Here is a 24,125-nt window from a genome sequence, read left to right on the forward strand (position 1 = left end):
GCAGGAGGAGGGACGTGGCTTAGGGAGCAAGGCATTTTTTGCTCAGGTTTGAAGGAATTCTTTTTGTTTGATCCTTCACCTCTCTATCCCCTCAGGGGTCCTGCAGCCCTGCTGGGCCTGGCTGGAGGAGTGGGCCCCAGAGGCAAGGCAGGCAAGTCAGGGGTTCTGAGGCAGGAGGATGCTGCCTCTGGTGGATGGGCATGTGGGGCTGTGTTAAGGGTGTGCGACAGCCATGACCAGTGAGCTGCTGGAAGCTGGAGCTAGGTGTCTGAGCTGACAAGCCAGGGCAAGTTTTTGTAGAGTATATTTTAAGAGGTAGATCTCCTCTTTCTACAGGGAATTTCAGAAATGTCCACTTCTCAGATGTGGAAGTGATCTGAGACCAGCTAGCTGGGTGTTCCCAAACCTTGATGATGAAGACCAGTCAAATTTCAGAACGCTGGTGGGTGTATTAGTCTGTTTTCACACTGCTGATAAAGACATACCGAAGACTGGGCAATTTATGAAAGAAAGAGGTTTAATTGGACTCACAGTTCTACGTGAATGAGGAGGCCTCACAATCATGGCGGAAGGCAAGGAGGAGCAAGTCACCTTATGCGGATGGCAGCAGGCAAAGAGCTTGTGCAGGGAAACTCCCCCTTATAATACTGTCGGATCTCAGGAGACTTATTCGCTATTACGAGAACAGCATGGGAAAGACCCACCCCCCTAATTCAGTCATCTCCCACTGGGTCCCCCCCATAACACGTGGGAATTATGGGAGCTACAAGATGAGATTTGGGTGGGGACACAGAGCTAAACCATATCATTCCTCCCCTGGTCCCTCCCAAATCTCATATCTTTACATTTCAAAATCAATCATGCCATCCCAACAGCCCCCCAAGTCTCAGCTCATTTCAGCATTAACCCAAAAGTCCAAGTCCAGAGTCTCATCTGAGACAAGGCAAGTCTCTTCTGGCTATGAGCCTGTAAAATCAAAAGCAAGTTAGTTACTTCCTAGATGCTTCGGGGGTACATGTATTGGGTAAACACAGCTCTTCCAAATGGGTGAAATTGGCCAAAGCAAAGGGGTTACAGGGCCCATGCAAGTCTGAAATCCAGCAGGGCAGTCAAATTTTAAAGTTCCAAAATGATCTCCTTTGACTGCATGTCTTGTGTCTGGGTCACGATGGTGCAAGAGGTGGGTTCCCATGGTCTTGGGCAGCTCCGCCCCTTTGGCTTTGTAGGGTACAGCCTCCCTCCTTGCTACTTTCACAGGCTGTTGTTGAGTGTCTGTGGCTTTTCCAGGTGCACTGTGCAAACTGTCAGTGGATCTGCCATTCTGGGGTGTGGAGGATGGTGACCCTCTTCTCACAGCTCTACTAGGCAGTGCCCCAGTAGGGACTCTGTGTGGGGCTCTAATCTCACATTTCCCTTCCACACTGCCCTAGCAGAGGTTCTCTGTGAGGGTCCCACCCCTGCAGCAAACTTTTTCCTGGGCATCCAGGCATTTCCATACATCTTCTGAAATCTAGGCAGAGGTTCCCATACCTCAATTCTTGACTTCTCTGCACCTGCAGGCTCTAGAGTGTGTGAAAGCTGCCAAGGCTTAGGGCTTCCACCCTCTGAAGCAACAGCCTGAGCTATACCTTGGTCCCTTTTAGTCATGGCTGGAGCAACTGGGACATAGGGCACCAAGTCCCTGGGCTGCACACTGCACGGGAACCCTGGGCCCAGCCCACGAAACCATTTTTTCCTTTTAGGCCTCTGGGCCTGTGATGGAAGAGGCTAGCATGAAGACCTCTGACAAGCCCTAGAGACATTTTCCCCATTGTCTTGGGGACTAACATTCGGCTCCTCGTTATTTATGCAAATTTCTGCAGCAGGCTTGAATTTCTCCTCAGAAAATGGGATTTTCTTTTCAATTGCATTGCAAATTTTCCAAACTTTTATGCTGTTTCCCTTTTGAAACTGAATGCCTTTAGCAGCACCCAAGTCACATCTTGAATGTTTTACTGCTTAGAAATTTCTTCTGCCAGATAACCTAAATCATCTTTCTCAAGCTTGAAGTTCCACAGATCTCTAGGGCAGGGGCAAAATGCCACCTTTTTGCTAAATGTGGCAAGATGCCACTCTTTGCTAAAACTTAACAAGAGTCACCTTTATTCCAATTCCCAACAAGTTTCTCATCTCCATCTGAGACCACCTCAACCTGGACCTTATTGTTCATATCATTAAGCATTTTTTGTCAAAGCCATTCAGCAAGTCTCTAGGAAGTTCCAAACTTTTGCACGTTTTCCTGTCTTCTTCTGAGCCCTCCAAACTGTTCCAGCCTCTGCCTGTTACCCAGTTCCAAAGTCACTTCCACATTTTTGGGTATCTTTTCAGCAATGCCCTACTCTACTGGTACCAATTTACTGTATTAGTCTGTTTTCACACTGCTGATAAAAGACATACCCAAGACTGGGCAATTTACGAAAGAAAGAGGTTTAATTGGACTCACAGTTCCATGTGGCTGGGGAGGCCTCACAATCATGGTGGAAGGCAAGGAGGAGCAAGTCACATCTTACATGGATGGTGGCAGGCAAAGAGAGCTTGTGCAGGGAAACTCCCCCTTATAATCCCGTCAGATCCCCTGAGACTTATTCGCTATTATAAGAACAGCATGAGAAAGACCCGTCCCGCTAATTCAGTCTTCTCCCACTGGGTCCCTCCCACAACACATGGGAATTATGGGAGCTACAAGATGAGATTTGGGTGGGGACACAGAGCCAAACCATATCAGTGGGGCTGACCCAGGATGGCCAACTTCTGATTTGACCAAATGAGGCCATTAAAAGCCAGTTGTCAGCTACTGTATCATCATTTCATAAAATGAAATAAAGGAAAGAATATTTTGACACCAACAATATAAGAAGGCCATCATTTCAAGATACAAAATATTTCTTCAGTTGATTATAATTGGTTTTATGAAGGATTTGCTCCACTATACCTGTTTTTTTAACTCCCCCTTTTTCCTTATTTCTCTTTTTTTTGCCAAAAACTCACACAATTCTGTTCTGGGTCCCCAGGCCTCTAGTTTCAGATGAGCAAAAGCAGGTGCAGAGGGAAGGGACCTGGCCAGGGTCCACAGCTAGTGAGATTTGTGTATTGTTTCAGTTATTTCTGGCTTCATAACAAATCTCTCCTGACTCAGCAGTGTGAAACAACAGTCATTTATTATTATCACCTCTCTTGGTTCTGGGGCTGGCCCAAGCAGCTTCACTTGGGGTCTCAGTGCTGTTGCAGTCAGATAGTGGCTGGGCTGTCATCTTAAAGGCTTCTCTGAGTGGGTCTGGGAAGATGCAAGCATTTGGGGACAGAGCAGCCAGGGCTCCTCTGGCATCCCTTTCTCCATGTGGTTTTCAGCATGACGGCTGCAGGACAGCCACATTTCTCCCCTGGGGCCTCAAATGCATGTCCTGAGAAAAGCCGGTGGATGCTGTGTTGCCTTTCATGAACTGGCCTTGAAAGTCACACGGCATCCCTCCTGCCGAGTTCTATTAGTTACAAGTGAGCCATTAAGGCCAGCCTGTATTCAGTGGGAGGAGAATTGGCCTCCACTTCTTGGTGGGAGGAGTGCCAGAGGATTTGCAGACATGTTTTAAAACCACAGTGTGGATCCAATAGGCTAAGTCCAAAGCGCCCTAGGGAGGGCCAGGTTTTAATTTGGAGCGCTGGGATCTTGGAACACACCCCCTTCCGTTAAGTGTTCCAGGAATGAGTCTGCTGGAGGATCACTCCGGTGACGGTGGCAAGCTCTGCTTCCTGGTCCCTGCTTGCACTTGTATGAAGTGATAAATTTCACGAATAAGGTAGATTCCATCAAATAAGTATCAATTAAGCTGTTTTATGATCTAGTTGAGATGATGAATTAAAGTCGATTTAGATAAATGATCAGTAAAAGAACAGAGACTTCAGGAAGACAGCATAAACTCTCTGAATTGCAGGCACTCACTCTTCATCAGAAAGCAGCCTCCCACACTTGTGCACTTGTTGAGCGCTTGCTGTGTGCATAGATAGCACTGGCTGGTGCTGTCCGACCAGTGATGGCTGCAGTGGTATGTGGAAGCGAGAGGGGTCCCAGTTTGCACTCCTGAGTATCTGTGATCCAATTCGGGTCATCCCTGTGCCATCTGTTAGGATCTGAGTGTGGGAAGGGGGAGCACTGATCTCTTTTCAATCCCCATTCCTGGGTGTGGGCTACCTGCTTTCAGTTTCAGGGAACAGAGATGCCCTCAAGGTTCCTGTTTAGAGGGGTTTATTGTAAGAGTTCTCTGAAAGATGAGGAAGAGAACTAGACCATCCCAAAGCCACGAGGCCCAGCCCCTGGCTCAGTGCCGGCAGCCCTCCTTGTTGCTTCCAGGGAGGCCTGGCTTATTCAAGGTCCACAGGTGTGAAATGGAGGGTGGCGGGGCTGGGGGCTTCTGGTATGCAGGAAGAGGGCAGCCACACTGGTGGTTTCCTGTGGCGGTGAGCTGGGGGTGTTGGGGTCAGCCTGGGAAGCGGGGAGTCCATGTGAGTGACCAATGTCCTAGATCCTCTCCTTCTTTCATGGATAGTAAGCACCTGTCCTATGTCAGGCACGCCTCTAGAAACAGGGCAGTGAACAGATAGACACCTTTACCTTCCCATGAGACTGCCAAGAAGGTGATGTCCTCTCTCTGAATCCCCTAGACCTGCCAATTTGGTGGATAATTGTTTTCTATCACAGCTCTTGGCAAAAGGAAGGGGAAAAACAATTCCCCAAGGTGTAGAATTCACCAGAGAGAACCCCCATTACTCGCCCAAGACCATTAGGCTGGTCTGTGACTTCCAAAATGAAGGGGCTACCTGGTTGTGTCCACAAGAAGAAAATGGAGGCTTACCCAGAGTCAGTAAGAGACTGTTAGGAACGCAGGCTGAGCCTGGCTGGCCACACGGCATGACTTTGTTCATGTCATGAATATTTATTGAACACCTGCCACATGCCAGGCACTGTTCCCGGGACTGGGTGTGAATAGTGCACAAGAGGGAAGCCTCCCTGCTCTCTTGGCGCTTACCTTCTAGCTGGGGAGACTGGAAACATAAAGATGGTGCAAAGGCCGAGTGGAGAAAAACCAAACTGCCAGGAGGGGCTCAGGCTGGGAGGGGATCAGGCCAGCTGGGAGGGGGTCAGGCCAGCTGGGAGGGGGTCAGGCCAGCTGGGAGGGGCTTGCTGAGCGGACCTTGAGCAGCCTCCTGCAGGGTCCTGGAGTCAGTGGTGCCCACCCCACCCCTGAGCTGGGGCTGAGGGCTCCACGACTTTCATCCCCTTGGGGTGCAGGGAGGTGACCAGGGGCGGCCCTCCCTGGCCTGGCTTCTCCCTCTTTCACCCACTGAGTGTCGACTCTGCCTTTCTGATCTGGGTCCCTGTGAGGAGGAAATATATATTTAGACTCTTCTGTACTTTCCGTGGTAACAGCCGCTTTATTCCTGGTGAAGAATGAGGAAAATGGGTCAGCTGTATTTACTAAGAAGCATGTTCCAGCTTCTTTTCCGAGGCTATTTATAAACTTTAAAAAATGCGAGCTAAGTTTTTGCATCTTATTGGAAGCCGGAGTGCCTATGAATACCCTTTCTATTACTATACCGGGGAATCTAGCACTTCGGAATTGAAATGCGTTGAGTAGGGCAGATAGGAATCTTGCAAATAGTGATTTTGATGAACTCTGGCAGCCCACATTTGCCTCTTGGTCTGATTTCTCTGGGAGTTTTTTCATGTGACATTGGTGTAGCTTTCTTGGATATGGTTGGGGGGGACTGTGCTGTGGCTACAAACAGCTGACTGGCTATGCTGGCCCTTCACGGCCGGTGTGCTGACAACTTTATCTGGCCTTGGAGCCTTGAGGAGGGGCTGCTGCCAGTGACTGGGCCCTGCTTTTGACCAGCCTTGCACACTGGGCAGTGGGCAGGGGGCCCAAGGGCAGAAGGGCCTCCTGAGCATGGGGACTTGGAGAAGCCATTTCTGAACCTGCTCCATCCCTGCCTTGTCTCTAGGGGGAATGGGGCCATGAGGCCTCTAGAAGCTTCGCCTTGGCCCAGGCCTCTTTCCCACATTTCTTGATGGGCCAAGAGCCGCCAGCAGCCCTCCTGTCTCTCATGCCTCCCCTGCGCGTCATGGGGTTACACGTGTCCTCACACTGTGCCTCGTGCAAAAAAAGGGTCACTTCTCCCTTTCTCTCTAAGTGGCCTGACCTCGCTTTCGAGGGGGAAAGGCTTGGGGGTCCTACATTTTAGGCCCACTCTGGTGGATTTAATCGAATGGCTCAAATTGCCTCTTGAGGTAACCTGTGTTGAGGCTGTGCTCGATCTTTCCAAGTGCCTCCTCTCCTGCTCCCCTCGGCGCCTTGGAGTATGGGGAGGAGTGCGTCCCTGTAGCCTGGAGGTAGCTGAGGGAGGGGTCTCTGCCCTCCAGCCACTCCTTGGTACCCTCTCTGGTTCCTTCTGCAGAGAGGCTGGACTATTGAGCCCCAGGAGCAACTAGCCCCGTGGAGACTTTGCTGGGGAATCCTGGCACCCATAAGTGGAGCCCTGGTCCCACTGTTTATTTTCTTGGCTTTTCAATACCTCTTCCCAAGAGGCATCTCCATTCTGACAGTGTGAGGTCACTGGAGCCTGCAGGCCATAGGGCCCTAAGCTGTCCGCTGGCTGATCCATCACCAGGAGGCAGGGTAGTAGGGCAAGAGGATAGGCATGGGGCCTCCTCCCCCTCCCGGCTCCAGCTGTAACCCTGAGGACCTGACTTCCTCTCCTTATGCCTCCATCTCCTGTGGGTATCATGTCCATAATCTAAGTCACAGCCACCACTACTGCCACTTACTGAGCACTTAACTCTGTCCCAGGCGCTGTTCCTCCCTGTGTCATCTATGAACTGATTAAATCCACAGGGCAAAGAGGGCTGTTAGGAGAATGAAATAAGTTACTCAAAGCCACTTGCTCAGGACAGTGCTTGGTGGTTGTCACTAATGATCACTCTCATCATGCCTATCTGCCCCACGTTGGGAGGGGATGGGCCAAGTTCTCCCCAGAGCAGAAGTTCCCAAACTTTCTTGCATCTTGTACTCCAAGTGCCTCAGTGACCTACCTTCCTTTCCTCTCCTCTCCTCTCCTCCCCTCCCCTCCCCTCTCCTCTCCTTTCCTTTCCTCCCTCCCTCCCTTCCTTCCTTTCTCTTTCTTTCTCTGTCTTCCTTCCTCCCTCCCTCCTCTCTCTTTTCTTTTCTCTTTCTTTCTTTTCTCTTTCTTTCTTTCTTTCTTTCTTTCTTTCTTTCTTTCTTTCTTTCTTTCTCTCTCTCTTTTCTTCCTTCCTTCCTTCCTTCTTTCTTTCTCTCTCTCTTTCTTTCCTTCCTTCCTTCCTTCTTTCTCTCTCTCTCCTTCTCTCTCTCCCTTTCCTTTCCTCTCTCTCTCATTCTTTCTTTCTCCCCTCCCCTCCTCTTCTTCTTTCTTTCTCTTTCATTCCCTTCCTTCCCTTTCATTTCCTTCCTTCCTTCCCTCCTTCTCTCCTTCCTTCCTTCTCTCTTTTCTTTCTTTCTTTCTTTTTTTTTTTTGAAACAAGATCTGGCTCTGTCACCCAGGCTGGAGTGCATTGGCTCGATTGCAGCTCACTGCAGCCTTGATCTCTTGGGCTCAAATGATCCTCCGACCTCAACCTCCAAAGTAGCTGGGACTACATGCACCTGCCACCATGCCCAGCTAACTCTTTAAAATTTTGTAGAGATGAGGTCTTGCTTTGTTGCCCAGGCTGGTCTCAGACTCCTGGGCTCAAGCAATCCTCCTGCTTTGGTCTCCCAAAGTGCTAGGTCTCCCAAAGTGCTAGTAATGAGCCACTGCACCTGGCCTCGGTGATTATTTTTTTTTTAATTTTTATTTTTAGAGTGCAGTGGCACAATCATAACTCACTGTAGCCTCAAACTCTAGGGCTCAGGTGATCCTCCTGCCTCAGCCTCCCGAGTAGCTAGGACCACAGGCATGCACCACCATGCCCAGCTAATATTCATTCATTCATTCATTTATTTTGTAGAGATGGGATTTTGCCATGTTGCTCAGGCTGATCTTGAACTGGCCTCAAGCAATCGACCACGTCAGCCTCCCAACGCGCTGAGACTGCAGGTGTGAGCCACTGCACCCAGCCGCCTCAGTGATTTTTTTTCCTGATGTCCCTAGGCCAAAATAAATATCTAACAGTTCCGTTTATTAAGTAGTTAGATATAAACACCTTAATAAACATTTGTGTCCTAACAATAGCTGTTTGAAAATATAATGCACATAATTTTAAAAATTCCATTCTTAAATAACCAAATTACGAATGGGATATGTGTGCCTATCAGGCACTGGACAACTGTAAAATCCTGGGATCAGATTAGACACCAGTGCCCTCATTTCCTGTTTCATATTGATTTTTGTGAGGTACTCACTTTTTCTTTCAGCAGCCACTGAAACCCCAGCTTTACCATGGCCTGACATCCTCAGAAGACATGCAGGACAGTCTAATGGTGAAACTGTCCACTGCCTCAAGCTAGTGGGACCAGTGGTGTCCGGCAGATGTTAAGTATTGCTTGTTTCCCACAAAAATGTAAATATTCCTGCAGGTCTCCTGTGAGTTAGCAGAGGCTCCTCAGGCAGCCTTGGTGCACAGTTTGGGAACCGTGTTTCTAGTGACTTGTGGCCTTCCCCTAGCTACCCAGGAAACTGGCCAATAGGCCTGAGGCTCTCAGACTCCTACGTACCCATCTGGCAGTTGCAGGAGAGACGACAAGGATCCAGGTGTCCTGCCTTCTTCCTGCCTCCCTCCTCCCACAATCTCTCAGGACAGGAGGGGCCAGGCTCCACTCTCTCCGCTCCCCTGCATCCTGTTCTCCTCCTGCCTGGGGCATCAGCCTCAGGACCCAGCCACCAGCGCTGGAAGGGGCATCTTCTTTGTGGCCGAGGGAGAACTCGGTGATCTGAATCCTCTAGGATGTGGATTCAGAAAACCCTCCCTCTTAACAGAGCGCTTTCAAGTCTGTGGCCACGCTGCTGATGCTAACAGAAATCAGTCTTGCCGTTCAGAGCAGAGAATTCCCTTTGTTGTTTTGGTGCGTACGTGCCCTCTGCCTGAAGTACTGAAATCATTGCTTCAAAGGGCAGGGAGCTCCCCAAACCACTAGACTTATAAGACAGGGAGTCTGAAGAGATCAGAGAGAGAATCGGGTGTTCAGTGCCTTTGTGTTCAGCAGGTGCTTACGTCTTAGGGACAGGTCGACTGTAAACTCAGGTGTCTTAGGATAGGTGCTTCTGCTGTTCTAGCTCCCACACAGCCCCTCCCCTTTACCTTTATTCCCATCTGCCCTCCCCACCCTAACTCTCCCCTGGGAAGATGCCTGCCGTTGCCTGTTCCCAGAGAGCCCCTTACTTGCAGTTTCAGAGCCTGCTGCCTCACTCCTCCTCCCTCACTGACTTCTGTCAATTTGAAGATCTCCCAGCTCATTCTCACCCCAGGACCTTTGCACTTGCCATTCCCCCTACCTGGGGTTCCATTATCAGGCCCGTCCTTGGCTTGCCCCAGCTCATTTTCCAGGTCTCACTTTAAATGTTACTCCTTAAACAGCCCAGCCAAGAGCACCCTGTCTAAGGCAGGCCCCCAGCTCCTCTGTTTGCTCCTCATGGCCCTTTAAATGCAAGCTTCATCATGCAGGCAGAGACCACGTCCATCTGCATCTACCATGTTCACTGTTGTTTACTTAGCACTTAGTCCTGTGCCTGGCCCATCGGAGGCACCAGCAAGCGTGTCTGTAGGAGTGGGGCTTCCGCAGGACAGTGCTGCTTTTTATTATTATTTTTTTAAATAGAAGGGACTTAAGGGCCAATGACTTTTAATTCTGCTGAGTAAGATGTAGAAAAATTACAGCTACCATATATCATCAACATGTTGTAAAAGTTGGAAGGACATACTCTTAGAATAAAGAACAGTTCTTTTCTTTTCTTCTCTTTTTGTTTTGTTTCGTTTCGTTTCATTTCAAGACAGAGTCTCGCTGTGTCACTCAGGCTGGAGTGCAATGGTGCGATCTCGGCTCACTGCAACCTCCGCCTCCTGGGTTCAAGTGATTCTCCTGCCTCAGCTTCCCAAGTAGTTGGGACTATAGGCGCATACCACCATGCCCAGCTAATTTTTTTTTTTTTGTTTGTTTGTTTGTTTGTTTTTGAGATGGAGTGTTGCTGTGTCGCCCAGCTGGAGTGCAGTGGCGTGATCTCAGCTCACTGCTAGCTCCGCCTCCTGGGTTCACGCCATTCTCCTGCCTCAAGCCTCCCGAGTAGCTGGGACTACAGGCGCCCGCCACCACGCCTGGCTAAGTTTTTGTATTTTTGGTAGAGACGGGGTTTCACCATGTTAGCCAGGATGATCTTAATCTCCTGACCTCGTGATCCGCCCGCCTCGGCTTCCCAAAGTGCTGGGATTACAGGCGTGAGCCACCGTGCCCGGCCTAATTTTTGTATTTTTAGTAGAGATGGGGTTTCACTGTGTTGGCCAGGCTGGTCTTGAACTCCTGACCTCGTGATCTGCCTGCCTCGGCCTCCCAAAGTGTTGGGATTACCGGCGTGAGCCACTGTGCCCGGCCCTTAAAGGACAGTTCTTTAAATGGCATAACTTTAGCACTATTGAAAACCTGCTGTGTCGTCCCTCTTCTCACCTCTTGGAGGTTGGATGAAAATTCTCCTTCGGTCCATGAGCACCTAGGAGGTGCTGCATTTGCCCTCGGTGGAACTTAGTAACCCATTCAATGTGGTCTTGACCGTGCTCTCGTGGTATTTGTCCCCTACACCAGGCTGTAAATGCTGTGGCGGGACATGGTGTTTTAGGATGAGCCTTTGCACCAGGCTGTAAATGCTGTGGCTGGACACTGTGTTTTAGGGTGAGCCTTTGCACATGCTCTTCCTTCTGCCTCCAGTACCTTGTTGGTCTCTGGGTACCTCCAAGTTCTGCCCAGACGCCCTCTCCTGAAGCTTTGCAGGACTGGCCTTGCCTCTCCTCGATCCTTGGTAATCACTGTCGACTCGCCTGCCTGCTGGGATCCAAGTCTTCTCTGTTTTGGACCAGGGTGCTGGCGTACCATGTTCCCACCATTGTACACCGTCATATGCTGAAGGATGAAGGATGTTGGCTGGTGGCGACTTTGAGTATGTGGCAGAAACAGATAGGCCACCCTCAAGGACTCTACATGGAGCCCACTCTGTCTTTCTGTAACTGATTCTAATTTCTACTTCAGTCTTTCATTCCACCAGGTTACAGAAACAGAATCACATTTAATTGTGGGTTTTCTCAGCCAACAGAAAGTTCCTCCAGCCTCCTGGGTTTGCGCGCATGTGAGGAGCTCATGGGGGTTAGGGGTTCGGCCCTCATCACTGCTGTTCCCCAGCTCTCTGTACCCCTGTGCAGGTCTATGCTGTACCCCCCTTTGTCCTAACTGTGGGGTCTCTGAAGGGAAGGGTGAGATCCTCAGCTGCTTCCACACCCCTCTTGGGGAGCAAGGGACCATTTGGCTGTCCCCTGAACCCTAGCAGCCATCTCTGGTCTCTGGGGCTCACGGAAAAATGCTCATTGGCTCTGCATGAGGAGTAAGGCTCAGCCCCTGCTCTGGAGCTTGGGCCTCTCTGGAGTCTTAGCCCACTCTTCACCAGGCGTGGGAAGGAGCATCTGTTTCCTTCTCCTCCCTCAGCCTGGCTCTGGGCAGGGAGTGGCCCTTGCTGGCCTTGGCTCCGCCGCGTCTCCTCTGCACACATCTGGGCCCTAGCTTTTGAAATTCTAAAGCCACGGCTTTGATTCTTCTGTTCTCTGGTTCCTCATAAGGGCCCTTCCCTGGGGCATAGATGCCTCGGTCTGGTTAGAATAAAAGGCTACAAGGCATGGGGGCAAAAAGAAACCTCCGTTCATACCCCCAGTGGTTAACCTGCAGCTAGCTGCTCATCTGAGGGAAGCAAGAGGGTGTGGGCTGGGCACCCCTAGGGAGCTTACTTTTAAAATGTGCCTGTGGGTGTGGGTAAGTAAATGCAGAAGCTATTTAGCATTCTAGCTTATTTGGGTATTTTTATTTACTTAAAAATCTTAATTTTCAGAGGTAATATGTGTTCGGCGAGGAAAGGAAAAACAGGAAGGTGAATAGAATCAGAGTCACTTATCTCAGCACCTGGAGATGCCCTCATTCCATCCTGGCGTGTGTCTCTACAGGTAGCGTAGTAATAAAAGTAGTGGTAATTATAGTACTAAATGGAACACACACTTACCGAGGGCTTAGGAAGCGCCAGGCATTTTTTTAAAGAATCACGCAGATGATAATTTAGGAGGAGCCTTTGTACATCCTCTTCCTTCTGCTTCCTTGTTGATCTCTGGGTACCTCCAAGTTCTGCCCAACGAACTAACGACCCTGTGATGTGGATATTACTGTTTTCCTCACTGTACCAATGAGGAAGTTGAGGCATTAAGCATTCATGGGATTTGCCTACGCTACGTGGCTGGGCTGCCTCGCTGTGCACACATACCCCCACATGCCTGCAGATGTGCACATTAATGGCCAAGGTATAGAATCAGGGTTCCTGGTCTAGTTTCTTTTGGGAGAGAAACCATATCTTTGTTCCCTGGGGACTTGGTACCTCATTTGCTGAATGAATGAATGAGGAGAGGGGGATGCTTTTGAATTTGGATGCAAGCTTTTCTACCATCGGTCACAGGCAAATTACTGTTCCATTTGGCAATTATTATTTTTCTTTCCTGGGCTTATAACACCTGTACGCACTGGTGCCTCCTTGTGTGACCTCAGGGAACACCATTCACATTGTATTCTTTTCTGAAAACAGCTTTATTGAGGCATAATTGACATATAATAAATTACACATATTTAAAATGTACAACTCAGTGAGTTCTGGCATCACCATCGCCAAATCAAGATAATGAACGTACCCATCACCCCAGAAGTATCCTTGAGTCCCTTGGTGATTGCTTCCTCCAGGGCCTCCCCCCTCCTCGCCAGGCAACCACCACTCTGCTTTCTGTCAGTCTGTTAGTTAGCATTTCTAGGGTTTTATATAAATGGAGTCATACAGCATGTTGTCTTTTTTTGGGGTCTGGCTCCTTTCAGCATAATTATTTTGAGATTCATCCATGTTGTGTGTATCAGTAATTCATTTCTTTTCATTGCTGAGTAGTGTTCTGTTGTATGGATATGAGACAATTTGTCCATGTACCTGTTGATGGACATTTGGGTTATTTCCACTTTTTACTTTTATAAATAAAGCTGCTGTGAACATTTGTGTGCAAGTCTTTGCATGGACATATGCTTTCTTTTCTCTCGGGTAAATGCCTAGGAGTGGGATGGCCGGATCATATGGAAACTGACACGTTGCTTTGCAAAGTGACCACGCTGTTTTCTATCCCCACTGCGGGGTATGAGAGTTCCAGTTTCTCTACATCCGCGCCAACCCTTCCTACGGTCAGTCTTTGTCATTTTAGCCATTCTAACAGGCATGTGGTATATCTCGTCATGGTTTGAATTTGTATTTCTGTAGTAAATAATGATGTTGAGCATCTTTACCTGCATTTAGCCATACCCATGTATCTTCTTTAGTGAAGTGTCTATTCAAATCTTTTGTCCTTTAAAAAAGTCGGGCTGTGTTCTTATTATTGTTTTGAGAGTTCTTTATATATATTCTAGATAAAGTTCTTTATCAGATATATGCTTTGCAGAGATTTTCTTCCAGTCTGTGATTTGTCTTTTCATCCTCTTAACAGTATCTTTTGAAGAACAGAAGTTAATTATGATAATGTCAGTTTTTTTAAATCTTTTTTTTTTCTGTTTTTAGGGATCATGCTCATGGTGTTGTATCTAAGCAATCATCATCTTTTTTTTTTAATTAAAAAGATGTGGGTCTTGCTATGATGCCCAGGCTGGAGTGCAGTAGCTGTTCACAGCCTCGAACCCCTGACCTCACATGATCCTTCTGCCTCAGCCTCCTGAATAGCTGGGACTACAGGTGCATGCCATTGTGTCTGGCCATCTAAGCAATCTTTAGCTAATGCAAAGTCACAAATATTTTCTCCTGTGTTTTCGTTTCTTTTTTTTTTGAGATGGAGTCTCTGGAGTATAGTGGCATGATCTCAGCTCACTGCAACGTCCACCTCCCAGGTTCAAGTGATTCTCCTGCATCAGCCTCCTGAGTAGCTGGGATTACAGGCACATGCCACCAACCCTGGCTAATTTTTGTATTTCTAGTAGAGGTGGGGTTTCACCATGTTGGCCAGGCTGGTCTGTAATTCCTGATCTCAAGTGATCTGCCCACCTTGGCCTCCCAAAGTGCTGTGATTACAGGTGTGAGCCACTGTGCCTGGCCTTCTCCTATGTTTTCGTCTCAGAATTTTATAGATTTTAAAATTTAGGCCTATAGTCTATTTTCAGTTAAAGCATATGGTGTGAGGTATGGGTTGAGGTTCGTTTTTCATTTTTTTTTTTTTTGCACGTAGACATCCAATTATTTCAGCACTATTTGTGGAAAAGACTCCTCTTTCTCCACTGAATTGCATTTTGCCCCTTTGTAAGAAATCATTTATCCATATATATGAAGGTCTATTTCTGGACTCAGTTCTGTTAATTGATCCGGTGGTCTGTCTTTAAGCCAATACCCCACTGTCTTGACTAGTGTGGCTGTATAACAAGTCTTGAAATCCTGTGAATCTAAGTCGTGTTAGCTCTGCAACTTTATTCTTGTTCAAGTTGTTCTGGCCACTCGAGGTCCTTTGCATTTCCATATGGATTTTAGAATTGGCTGTCAGTTTCCAGCACAAAGCCTGCTGGGATTTTGATTGGGATTGAGCCTCACATTGCTCTCTGCAGATGGCCTCTTCTGGAGCTATGCCACCTGCTGTCCTGCCACACCGGTGGGTGTAGGACCATATGAGTGACTGAGGGGCCAGCGCCCGTGGTCGGCAGAAGGGGAGGTTATTGGTATTTAATAAGGCATTTTCAGAGACACTCTGCATTGACCTTAGGGTTTCAGGATGGGATGCTTTTGGCTGAGCCCAGGTGTCCTCTGAGAAATGTGGACCGGAAGGATGAGGCATGCTCCCGGAAGTTAGCATCGCTCATGGCCCTCAGTCAGGGCATGGCAGAGGAACCACCCCTCTTGTAAAAGAGGCACACACAGCCCTCCTGCTGTAATCTGCCCCATGTCACCTGCTTTAGGCATTCATATTTGAGGCTCCACGGATGTGGTGAATGGGTGCCCTGGGAGGATGGGTAAGGGCAGGTGTGGGAGGAATTTCCTTTCCAGAACATTCCTTTGAGGAGGAGAGAAAAGGAACTTGGCCACTGTGGACCCGCTTGGGCTAGCTGCGTGTCTCTGTGTGTTGCTGGCTGTGACAGGTACTGTGGAATCCTTGCCTTCCAGGGGAGACCTGTGGCCGGCAGGAGCTGCCCGAGATCCCGGGGCAAATGCCTCCCCTCCCTTCACCACCACCCCCTCCCCTCTCTCCCCTCTTATGCCCGCACCATGGCTTTACCTAGCCCTGCTCTTCAGTGAAGGTATCTTGCAGAGGGCGTATGGTTGGAGAGGAAGGCAGGGCTCTGAGGATGCTATGATGTGCCATTTCTTTGGGCTTTTCCGAGGACTGCTCACTTGAGGCTTCCCCTGGGGAGAAGGAGCTGTTAAACTGTCAAAATAAAAAGTCCACCAAACTCCTTAGGCCAGTCGAAAGCACCTAACTCAGACCACAGGCAGCAAGAGCAACAGATTTCCCTGCAATATGTTACAAGGGGAAGAAAAGACTATTGGGGAACTTAAAAGAAATGCAGGAAAAGTTTCAAAGATGGGAATATACCTAGTCAATCATACATTAAATTTGGGATTCATAAAAAGAAATTGTGGTGAAAATCTTCCCAAATAAGTTTTTATTCTAGAATTTGATGACAAATCTCTCACGGCGCTGGTTATCCCGTAGGTGTGGTATTCTGAAATACAACCCGAGGCATATATATTGTCAAATAATAAAGTATTATGAAACCAATCAGCTGTGAGCTCCCCACTTGGCAGTTTGGAAGTAAAACCCTTTCTCCTTTACAAGGCCAAGTGACTCTTAATTCTTCCCAGGAGATTTCACGTTAAAATGTGTTCACTGCCAGCTGACAAAAGAGGCGAGTCCAGATTTATTACCCTGGCACCTGCAGCAAAAAAAAAATGACGGATGATGAAAATATATTTAATTATCATTCCATGCCACATCTCTGTCTGCTCCAGTCGCGGGGCTGCAGCTGTTGGCACACACTTTATTTTAAAGTCAATGTGCTTATCTGGAGAGAAGGCTGCTCTCTGAATAAATTGACTTGAGGGAGGAAGGAAATGGCGATCTCCTCCAGACCCAGCTGAACAAATGCAGATTTGTATTCTGTGCGCCTGCTTTAATTGTCTAATCCGCCCGACATCACATCAGCTCTGGGATTTGGCTTTTGTAAAGAAAACATTTGCAAAAAGTAAACTTTTCCGTGGTTTTCTTGAGCCAAAATGAATGATTTTCCTTCCTGGACTGAAAAGTGCTGGCCGACAGTGGATGCTCATGTTTCTGCTGCAGGCACGGAAATCACTGTTAGTTGCATCTCAGAATGGAAGGAGCCCTAGACAGTCCCTGGTGGACCGTCTCCTTCACCAGATGGAGACCCCGCAGAGTCTGGAGGGGTGGGCTCAGGGTCTCAGAAGGTGGCAGGTCGGAAACTGGAGACCAGAACTTCTGGCTCCCAGGAAGCCACTGTGTTTTTGTGACTCGAGGCTGTCGGAGGTCTAACTGTTTAAGGTTATGCGCCTGAGCCTGGAGGATGGCCTCAGAGAATTGCCTTCCTCTTTCTCTTCCGTTAAAACCTTCTGGAAAATAAAAACTTGGGATGGAGCAGCAGTGCCCTGACTGAGGTGGAAAGCATCAGATTTCTTGGAGTGAAGTCTGCGGGGACTTAGGTTGGCTGCTGAAAGTCTGTGCCATTAGTTCCTGCCTATGATGTGTTGTTTTCGACAAAAGTAGCCCAGATAATAGGCAGTATCTAATGTGGCAATTTTCCTATATCTCTTCTTATCAGGAGAAGCCACTCGATGTTTTGTATATGGTGGGATTTAGTACAAAGTGATGGCATTTCCACTGAAATGAAATACAATCACTGGTTTAGCAGTTAGGATTCAGGGAGGAGAGATGATGCTGAGTGTTTCTGGTGGTGCCTGGTGTCACTGGTGGCCAGAGGCAGATGCCTGTGGATGGGGGCAGGAGGGGGATGAGGTTTCTGTAAATGGAGCTAACTCAGGGGTTGGGGGAGAGGGAGGCTCATTTCTCCTGACCTTCTCTTTGATGAATAAGGATTCAAGATTGTATCTGCTGAGCCTGCAGGACATGAGAACTGGGGGAGGAAAGAGAGCTCTGGCTTATGGATTTGGGCTGTGACCAGAGCTCTTTTGCCACCAAGCTTTTTGATGTATTGACCAGAAGTTACTATAAACCAGAGAGAGGGTGGGGCGTGGTGACTCACGCCTGTAATCCCAGCACTTTGGGAGGCCGAGGCAGGTGGATCACGAGGTCAGCCGATTGAGACCATCCTGGCTAACACGGTGAAACCCCATCTCTACTAAAAATACAAAAAATTAGCTGGGCGTGGTGGCAGGCGCCTGTAGTCCCAGCCACTCGGGAGGCTGAAGCAGGAGAATGGCGTGAACCCGAGAGGTGGAGCTTGCAGTGAGCCGAGATTACGCCACTGCACTCCAGCCTGGGCGACAGAGTGAGACTCTGTTTAAAAAAAAAGACAAAAAAAACAGAGAGAGGATTCCACTGCCGTCTCCATCATCATCACCACCGTCACCATTATCACCATCATAACCATCACTTATCACCATCACCATTCACCACTTACCATCACCATCACCATTCACCATTTACCACCACCATCACCATCACCATCATCACCGTCATCACCACCATAACCATCACTGTCATCACCATAATCATCACTTATCACCATCATCATTCACCACTTACCACCACTATCATCACCAACACCATCATCATCACCACTACCATCATCACCATCACCATCCCCATTCACTACTTACCACCACCATCATCACCATCACCATCACCATTCACCACTTACCACCACCGTCATCACCATCACCATCACCATTCACCACTTACCACCACTATCATCACCATCACCATCATCATCACCACTACCATCATCACCATCATCATCACCATCATCATTCACCACTTACCACCACCATCATCACCATCACCATCATCATTCACCACTTACTACCACTATCATCACCATCACCATCACCATTCACCACTTACCACTACCATCATCACCATTCACCACTTACCACCACCATCGTCACCATCACCATCATCATCACCATCACTATCACCATCACCATTCACCACTTACCACCACCATCATCACCATCACCATCATCATCACCATCACTATCACCATCACCATTCACCACTTACCACCACCATCACCATCACCATCATCACAGTCATCACCATCATAATCATCACTATCACCATCACCATTCACCACTTACCACCACCATCACCATCACCATCATCACTGTCATCACTACCATAACCATCACTGTCATCACCATAATCATCACTGTCACCATCACCATTCACCACTTAAACCACCACCATCATCACCAACACTACCACCACTACCACCTCACTTAATTTATGTATCACTTCTTATGTACCAGACCTTTGGAGAAATCCCTTAAATTGGTCATCTCCTTTAATCTCAGGGGGCAGATATTCTGCCTGTTTTACAGATGAGAAAACAGAAGTCTCGGTAAGTAACAGAACTAGGACTTGAAGCCAGGACTTGGAGTCCACTCTCATAGCCATACCTTTTTATTTAGGGGCTTTAAATATATACAGTACTGTTAAGATTTTATAGGATAAAAGGATGAAAGGAGACGTCAACTCTGTACTTTTGTCAAGAGAAATGTTTGAGGATGCAATAATTTTGAGTTTGAAGACTGGCCCATGGGGATTTCCTTTCCCATGTGGCTGGCAAATGGGGAGAGAGGTACCCCCCTCAGCTCTGGGGACCAGGGCGGCTGAGAGACTGGTTGGCTGGGGTCAGGGCTGGGGTGGGGAGGATGGAGGAGGCGCTGCAGAGAGCTGGCCCTGGGGACTTGGTTGCGTCACAGCAGGAGGTGGGGAGCAAAGGGGAGGTGCCAGGCTCTGCTCCATGCTGGCAGCCCTGGGGCCACGGCAGCAGGGGAGGGATGCGTCTGGGGCTCTTGAAGGCTTGGCTGGCGGGCCTTGGGAAAGAAGTCAACCATGCTGTCCTCCCAGGTCTCCTGGGCTATGTGAGCAGCAGCATGGCCTGTTCTGCTGTGTGTTTGTCCTGCTGGGTTGCCTTGTTTTCACATGGTCAGTCGGAGCTGGTAGGCTGGGCCAAGTGGTTCATACTCTGATCTCTCTGTCCTGGCCACACAGCCTCCAGGAAGCTTGAGCTTTGTTTTTCTGGCCTTTCATGATCTCCTCTGGCTCCCTGTGGCCCATCTGGGACTCTGGGTTTGGTGCTTGACTGCGGTATAGACTGACCAGTATTATGGCTTCATGCTTCTTGGCTGAGCTGCCCAGACACATGACAGGGCTGTGGCCACCAGAAGATGGAGACGTGTCACATTCTCCTCGCTGCCCTGCGGCCCCACTGTTTACATCAGTTCCCAAGACGTTTGGGCCTGACAGATATGAGTCTCTCAAAGAGCAGCTTTTAGCAGATATTTGTCATGCGTCCATTGTCCACCAGGCACAGTCCTCGCCCTGGGACCCAGCATGAATGTGGCTTGGGAAAACTCAGGGAGTTGCCATGACCCATAGGGCTGGCCCACACACTCACATGTGTTGTTATGAGACCCTAGGGCCTTTGGGATTTGGGTTCGTAACCAGAGGAGCAGGCGTGGAGCGTCAGAGGTCAAGGAGATGGACATGTCATCACTAGTTCAGCAGGGGAACTGCGGGCAAAGAAATTAATACTGATTTTATTTCCAAGTGAGGCTGATGACTCTCCTTTTTACATTAATTTTTATTAAGCATTTTATGTATTATTCCAAAACCACATACTATGCAGAGACAGTTTAGAACACATTATGGGTTGTGCATTTCATAATTATCATATGGCCTCAGTCCAGAATGTAGAAAAGAAAATAAACACAATCATTTTCCAATAGAAGGGAATCATTGATAATGTGTGGACAGGACTTGGAGCTGCCAGCACCGCCCATGGGCTCTGGGCTCAGGACCCAGCACAACTCCATGCACAGCAAAGTGGCTCCAACCTGTCCTCCTGCCATGGCCTCCCGTCCTCTCTGTCTCCAGCCTGCAGGGGTCCTGCTTAGCCTGGTCCCCTGTGGCGAGAGTTCTTCCTCTCCACCTTCTGCTGTCTGGACCCTATTTATTCCCTGGGGCAGGACTCAGCACAGAAGCCCTTCTTGCTGCTCAGATCTCACCTCAGAGAAGCCCAAACCCAAGCAAACCCCGGTCACCCTTCGTCACGGCGCAGGGCTCTGTTTTCATCTTGGCACTTCCTCTCCAAGGCTTCTGCCTAGCATCTGTCTCCCTGCTTCAATGCAAGCTCCATGAGAGCAGGCACCTTCTCTGTTCACCCCAGCACCCCAAGCAACTGGGCGAGTGCCGGGCACAGAGCAGGCATGAGCAGATGCTCGCTGGATGAATGCATGCATGACTGTGCATCTCCTCCACTGGACTGTGAGCTCCTCCAGGCCAGGGACAGCTCTACGTGGCCACATGGCCAATGCCAGCATATCCGTGTCTAAGCAGAAGTGTGTTGAGTTGAGTCCCCACCCTGCACCTGTGAAATCTTCAACTAGGTGCTGGGATGGAGTTTGTATTAGTCAGGGTTCTCTAGAGAAACAGGACCCCTACTATATATATGAATGATATTTATGTGAGATTTATAAGGAATGGCTCATGAGATTATGGAGGCTGAGAAGTCCCATGATCTACTCTCTGTGAACTGGAAACCCAGGAGAGCTGGTTTTGGAATTCTAGTCTGAGTTCACAGGAACACCACTGGTGTAAGTCCCAGTTCAAGGTCAGAAGACCAAGGCCCAGCTCCAGCAGGCAGGCAGAGAGAGGGTTCTGCTTCCCCTCACCTTTCTGCTCTACTCAGATGCTCAGTGGATTGGATGATGCCCCCCACACTGGGGAGGAAGCCCTGCTTTACTCACCTACTGATTCAAAGCCTAATCTCATCCAGAGACACTCCCACAGACATACCTGGAAATAATGTTTGGCTGAGTGTCTGGGAATCCTGTGATCCAGTCAAGCTGACACCTAAAATGAACCATCACAGAGTCCCTCCTGGGGACCTAGTGCCAGGCTAGGGTCTGTGAATCGTTCAGCAGAAAAGAAGAAATGGGCCTTTTGGGGGCCAAGGGTCCAGAGGAGTGACACTTAAGGACTCTAGGGGCAATAGAAACGAGGGCCTCAGTGTGCACTGGGGATTACTGGAGCCCTCGGAGTTGAGGGAGGCCAGAGAAGGATAGATGGCAGGTGTCCACACAGCCCCCTTCCTCACCGACACCCACCTCTTCATCTGCCAAGGCCGGGCTCAGCACTATCCCCCATTTGTGATGGACTCTGCAGGGTGTCCTGACAGGTGGGCACTGTGCTCACAGGCAGGGGATCCTCACAGGGAAAGGGGATCCTCAGGGGGAGGGGGGATCCTTGCAAGGTGGGGGGATCCTTGCAGGCAAGGGGAGATTCTTACAGGGAAGGTGTGTCCTCAGGTAGGAGGGACCCTCACAGGTAGGCATGACTAGTCTCATTTTCTGCCGAGGAGCCCACATGGCCTGGAAGTGCAGAGCAGGGATGGAACTGAGGTTCGCCGACTTCCAGTCCCTGGTGTTTCCCTCGTCCTGTCTGCTGCCCCTCTGGTATGTCTGAAGATCCCCATAGCTCTCAATAGCTGCATGTAGAGTTCCAGCATGACTGGGAATTGTTTTCAGTTGTCTGCGGGGCACTGGGCACAGCCGCACTTGAAGTCGTAGGACACCATTGGGAGACCGGGCTGTCTCCAAGAGAAAGATGCCCAGTGGCCCCCAAAGCCTTCTTGAATCGCACACTTACCCCAGCTCTCCAGCTTTTCCGAATCCGAGTCCCTCAGAGGCCAGGCACTGGGGTGTTCATTGAGCAGCAAGGAAGCCGTGACCGGGAGAGTGTGGGGACTTGGTGCCTGCATGTGGCTCCCCTAGACACTGACCCGAGGCACAGATTTAGGTGTAAATGGCCTATTTAGGAGGTCATCCCAGAAAACACATCAGGGAGGGTGGGGCTCCAGTCAGCCCAGTGTTAATGAGCAGGTTAGCGCCGTGGGCAATTGGGGCCCTTCAGTGACAGCAGGGAGCACACCTCAGGGTGTCCCCTGACAGGCGAGGAAGCTCTCGTCCTTCATGGGTGAGAGTCACTCCTGAAGTATTAGTACCTAGCACTTCTGGGCAGTCCTGCAGTGCAGGTGACCTCTGGAAGGGTGGAGGCCGTACAGGTGAGGCCTGCAGTTCTGCTCCTGTGCCCAGCCAGCAGTGCCTGGGATGGGCTAGAAGCCCATGTGTCCACTATAGGCATGGCCAGGGCTCTTTTCCATGACTGCGGAAGGAGAGGTGGGAGCCTTGGCTTGGTAAATGCAGCCACTGAAGAGCCTGAGAACCAGGAAAACTTGCCGAGGATGGACAACACTGGCCTTGCTCGAGTGAGTCAGGGCTGCGCTGCTGTCCTGGGAAAGCTTCACCCACGGGCTTCATGCAAGGCTGCCCCTGTCTATGCCCTGATTCTCTTTTTTCTTTTTTCTTTTTTTTTTTAAAGAAATCTCATTTTACAAATGGTTTTCTGCACATTCCAAGTGCTGTTCCCAGCATTTACACCCTGCTTCATAATTGGCCTATACAATACACCCTGTTCAGAATTTTTAATCAACTATGGCAAGTTGCCCCAGCAATTTAAATAAAAATATATAAATGAATTTAGTATTTTAATATTACAGTGACATTAACCTTATATATGTACTTAGCAATTTTGAACAGTATTACAATTTTATAAAATATTCTTCATTTGGCTGGTGGATAAACCCCAGAGTTAAACCATGGGCTCACTTGGTACTGTGGCTCATGCTATAATCCCAGCACTTTGGGAGGCTGAAGCAGGAGGATCACTTGAGTCCAGGAGTTCGAGAGCAGCCTGGGCAACATAGTGAGACCCCTATTTCTACACAAAAATAATGATAAAAAATTAGCTGGATGTGGTGGCCTATAATCCCAGCTACTTGGGAGGCTAAGGTGAGAGGATCACCTGAGCCCAGGAGATCAAGGTTGCAGTGAGCTATGATTGTGCCATTGCACTCCAGCCTGGGTGACAGAGTGAGACCCTGTCTCTAAAAAAATAAAAAATAAAACCAAAACAAACCATGGGCTCTTTGTGCCACAAACGGAGAAGGGAGCTGAGCCAGTTGGGAGGAGCACAAGCTGTAGCCAGGTCTGCCCTGAGAGGCCTGATAGTCTGAGTGGCCCTGTACCCCTGTGAGGCCAGTGTGGCCAGCTGTGATGGGCAGCACGGCCAGACACGATGTTTGCGTGTTTAAGGACTTCAGTCTGTGCTTGGACACTCTCACTCAGAGTGGCCCCTGGGCAGTCTGCTCTGGGCCGAGCAGGGCATGAGAAGGTGCCACAGGGCAGAACGAGAACACGAATGCAGAGGCCCCGGCTCCAGCTTCCAGTGATTTCTGTTGGGGGCCTTCGATGTCCTGGGCAACGTGCTGACCACTCTGTAAGCACTATCCCTGCTCAAGGTCACCAGCAACCTGCTTGTGGCTGGTGCCGTGACTGGCCCTCATTCCTTATCTCGTGGGACCCCATTAGCAGCGGTTAACACAGCCACTCCGGCCCTCCTCCCCTCCTCCCCTCCGTCCTTCCTCCCCTCTTCTCCTCCTCCCCTCCTCCCTGACCGTCCTCACCTGGCGTCCAGGACACCATGGTTCCTGGTTTTCCTCCCTCCTCTCAGCCTCCTC

At 49.4% G+C, this 24,125-nt stretch overlaps 1 protein-coding gene across 25 annotated transcripts in view, besides 1 other annotated feature; it reads left to right on the plus strand.

Moving 5' to 3' along the window:
* CAMTA1 (calmodulin binding transcription activator 1) overlaps positions 1 to 24,125 on the plus strand; it is a 984,253-nt gene that overhangs the window by 133,712 nt on the left and 826,416 nt on the right. The gene's annotated exons all lie outside the window — the stretch shown is intronic.
* Positions 11,181 to 11,681: an enhancer, noted in NCBI's record as "H3K4me1 hESC enhancer chr1:6990406-6990906 (GRCh37/hg19 assembly coordinates)". NCBI's record gives its function as "activates a minimal SCP1, AML or CMV promoter by ChIP-STARR-seq in primed H9 embryonic stem cells {active_cell/tissue: H9 hESC(primed)}" and the evidence as "EXISTENCE:reporter gene assay evidence [ECO:0000049][PMID:30033119]".

This window comes from Homo sapiens, chromosome 1 (genome assembly GCF_000001405.40).
Source record: "Homo sapiens chromosome 1, GRCh38.p14 Primary Assembly".
Lineage (NCBI taxonomy): Eukaryota > Metazoa > Chordata > Mammalia > Primates > Hominidae > Homo > Homo sapiens.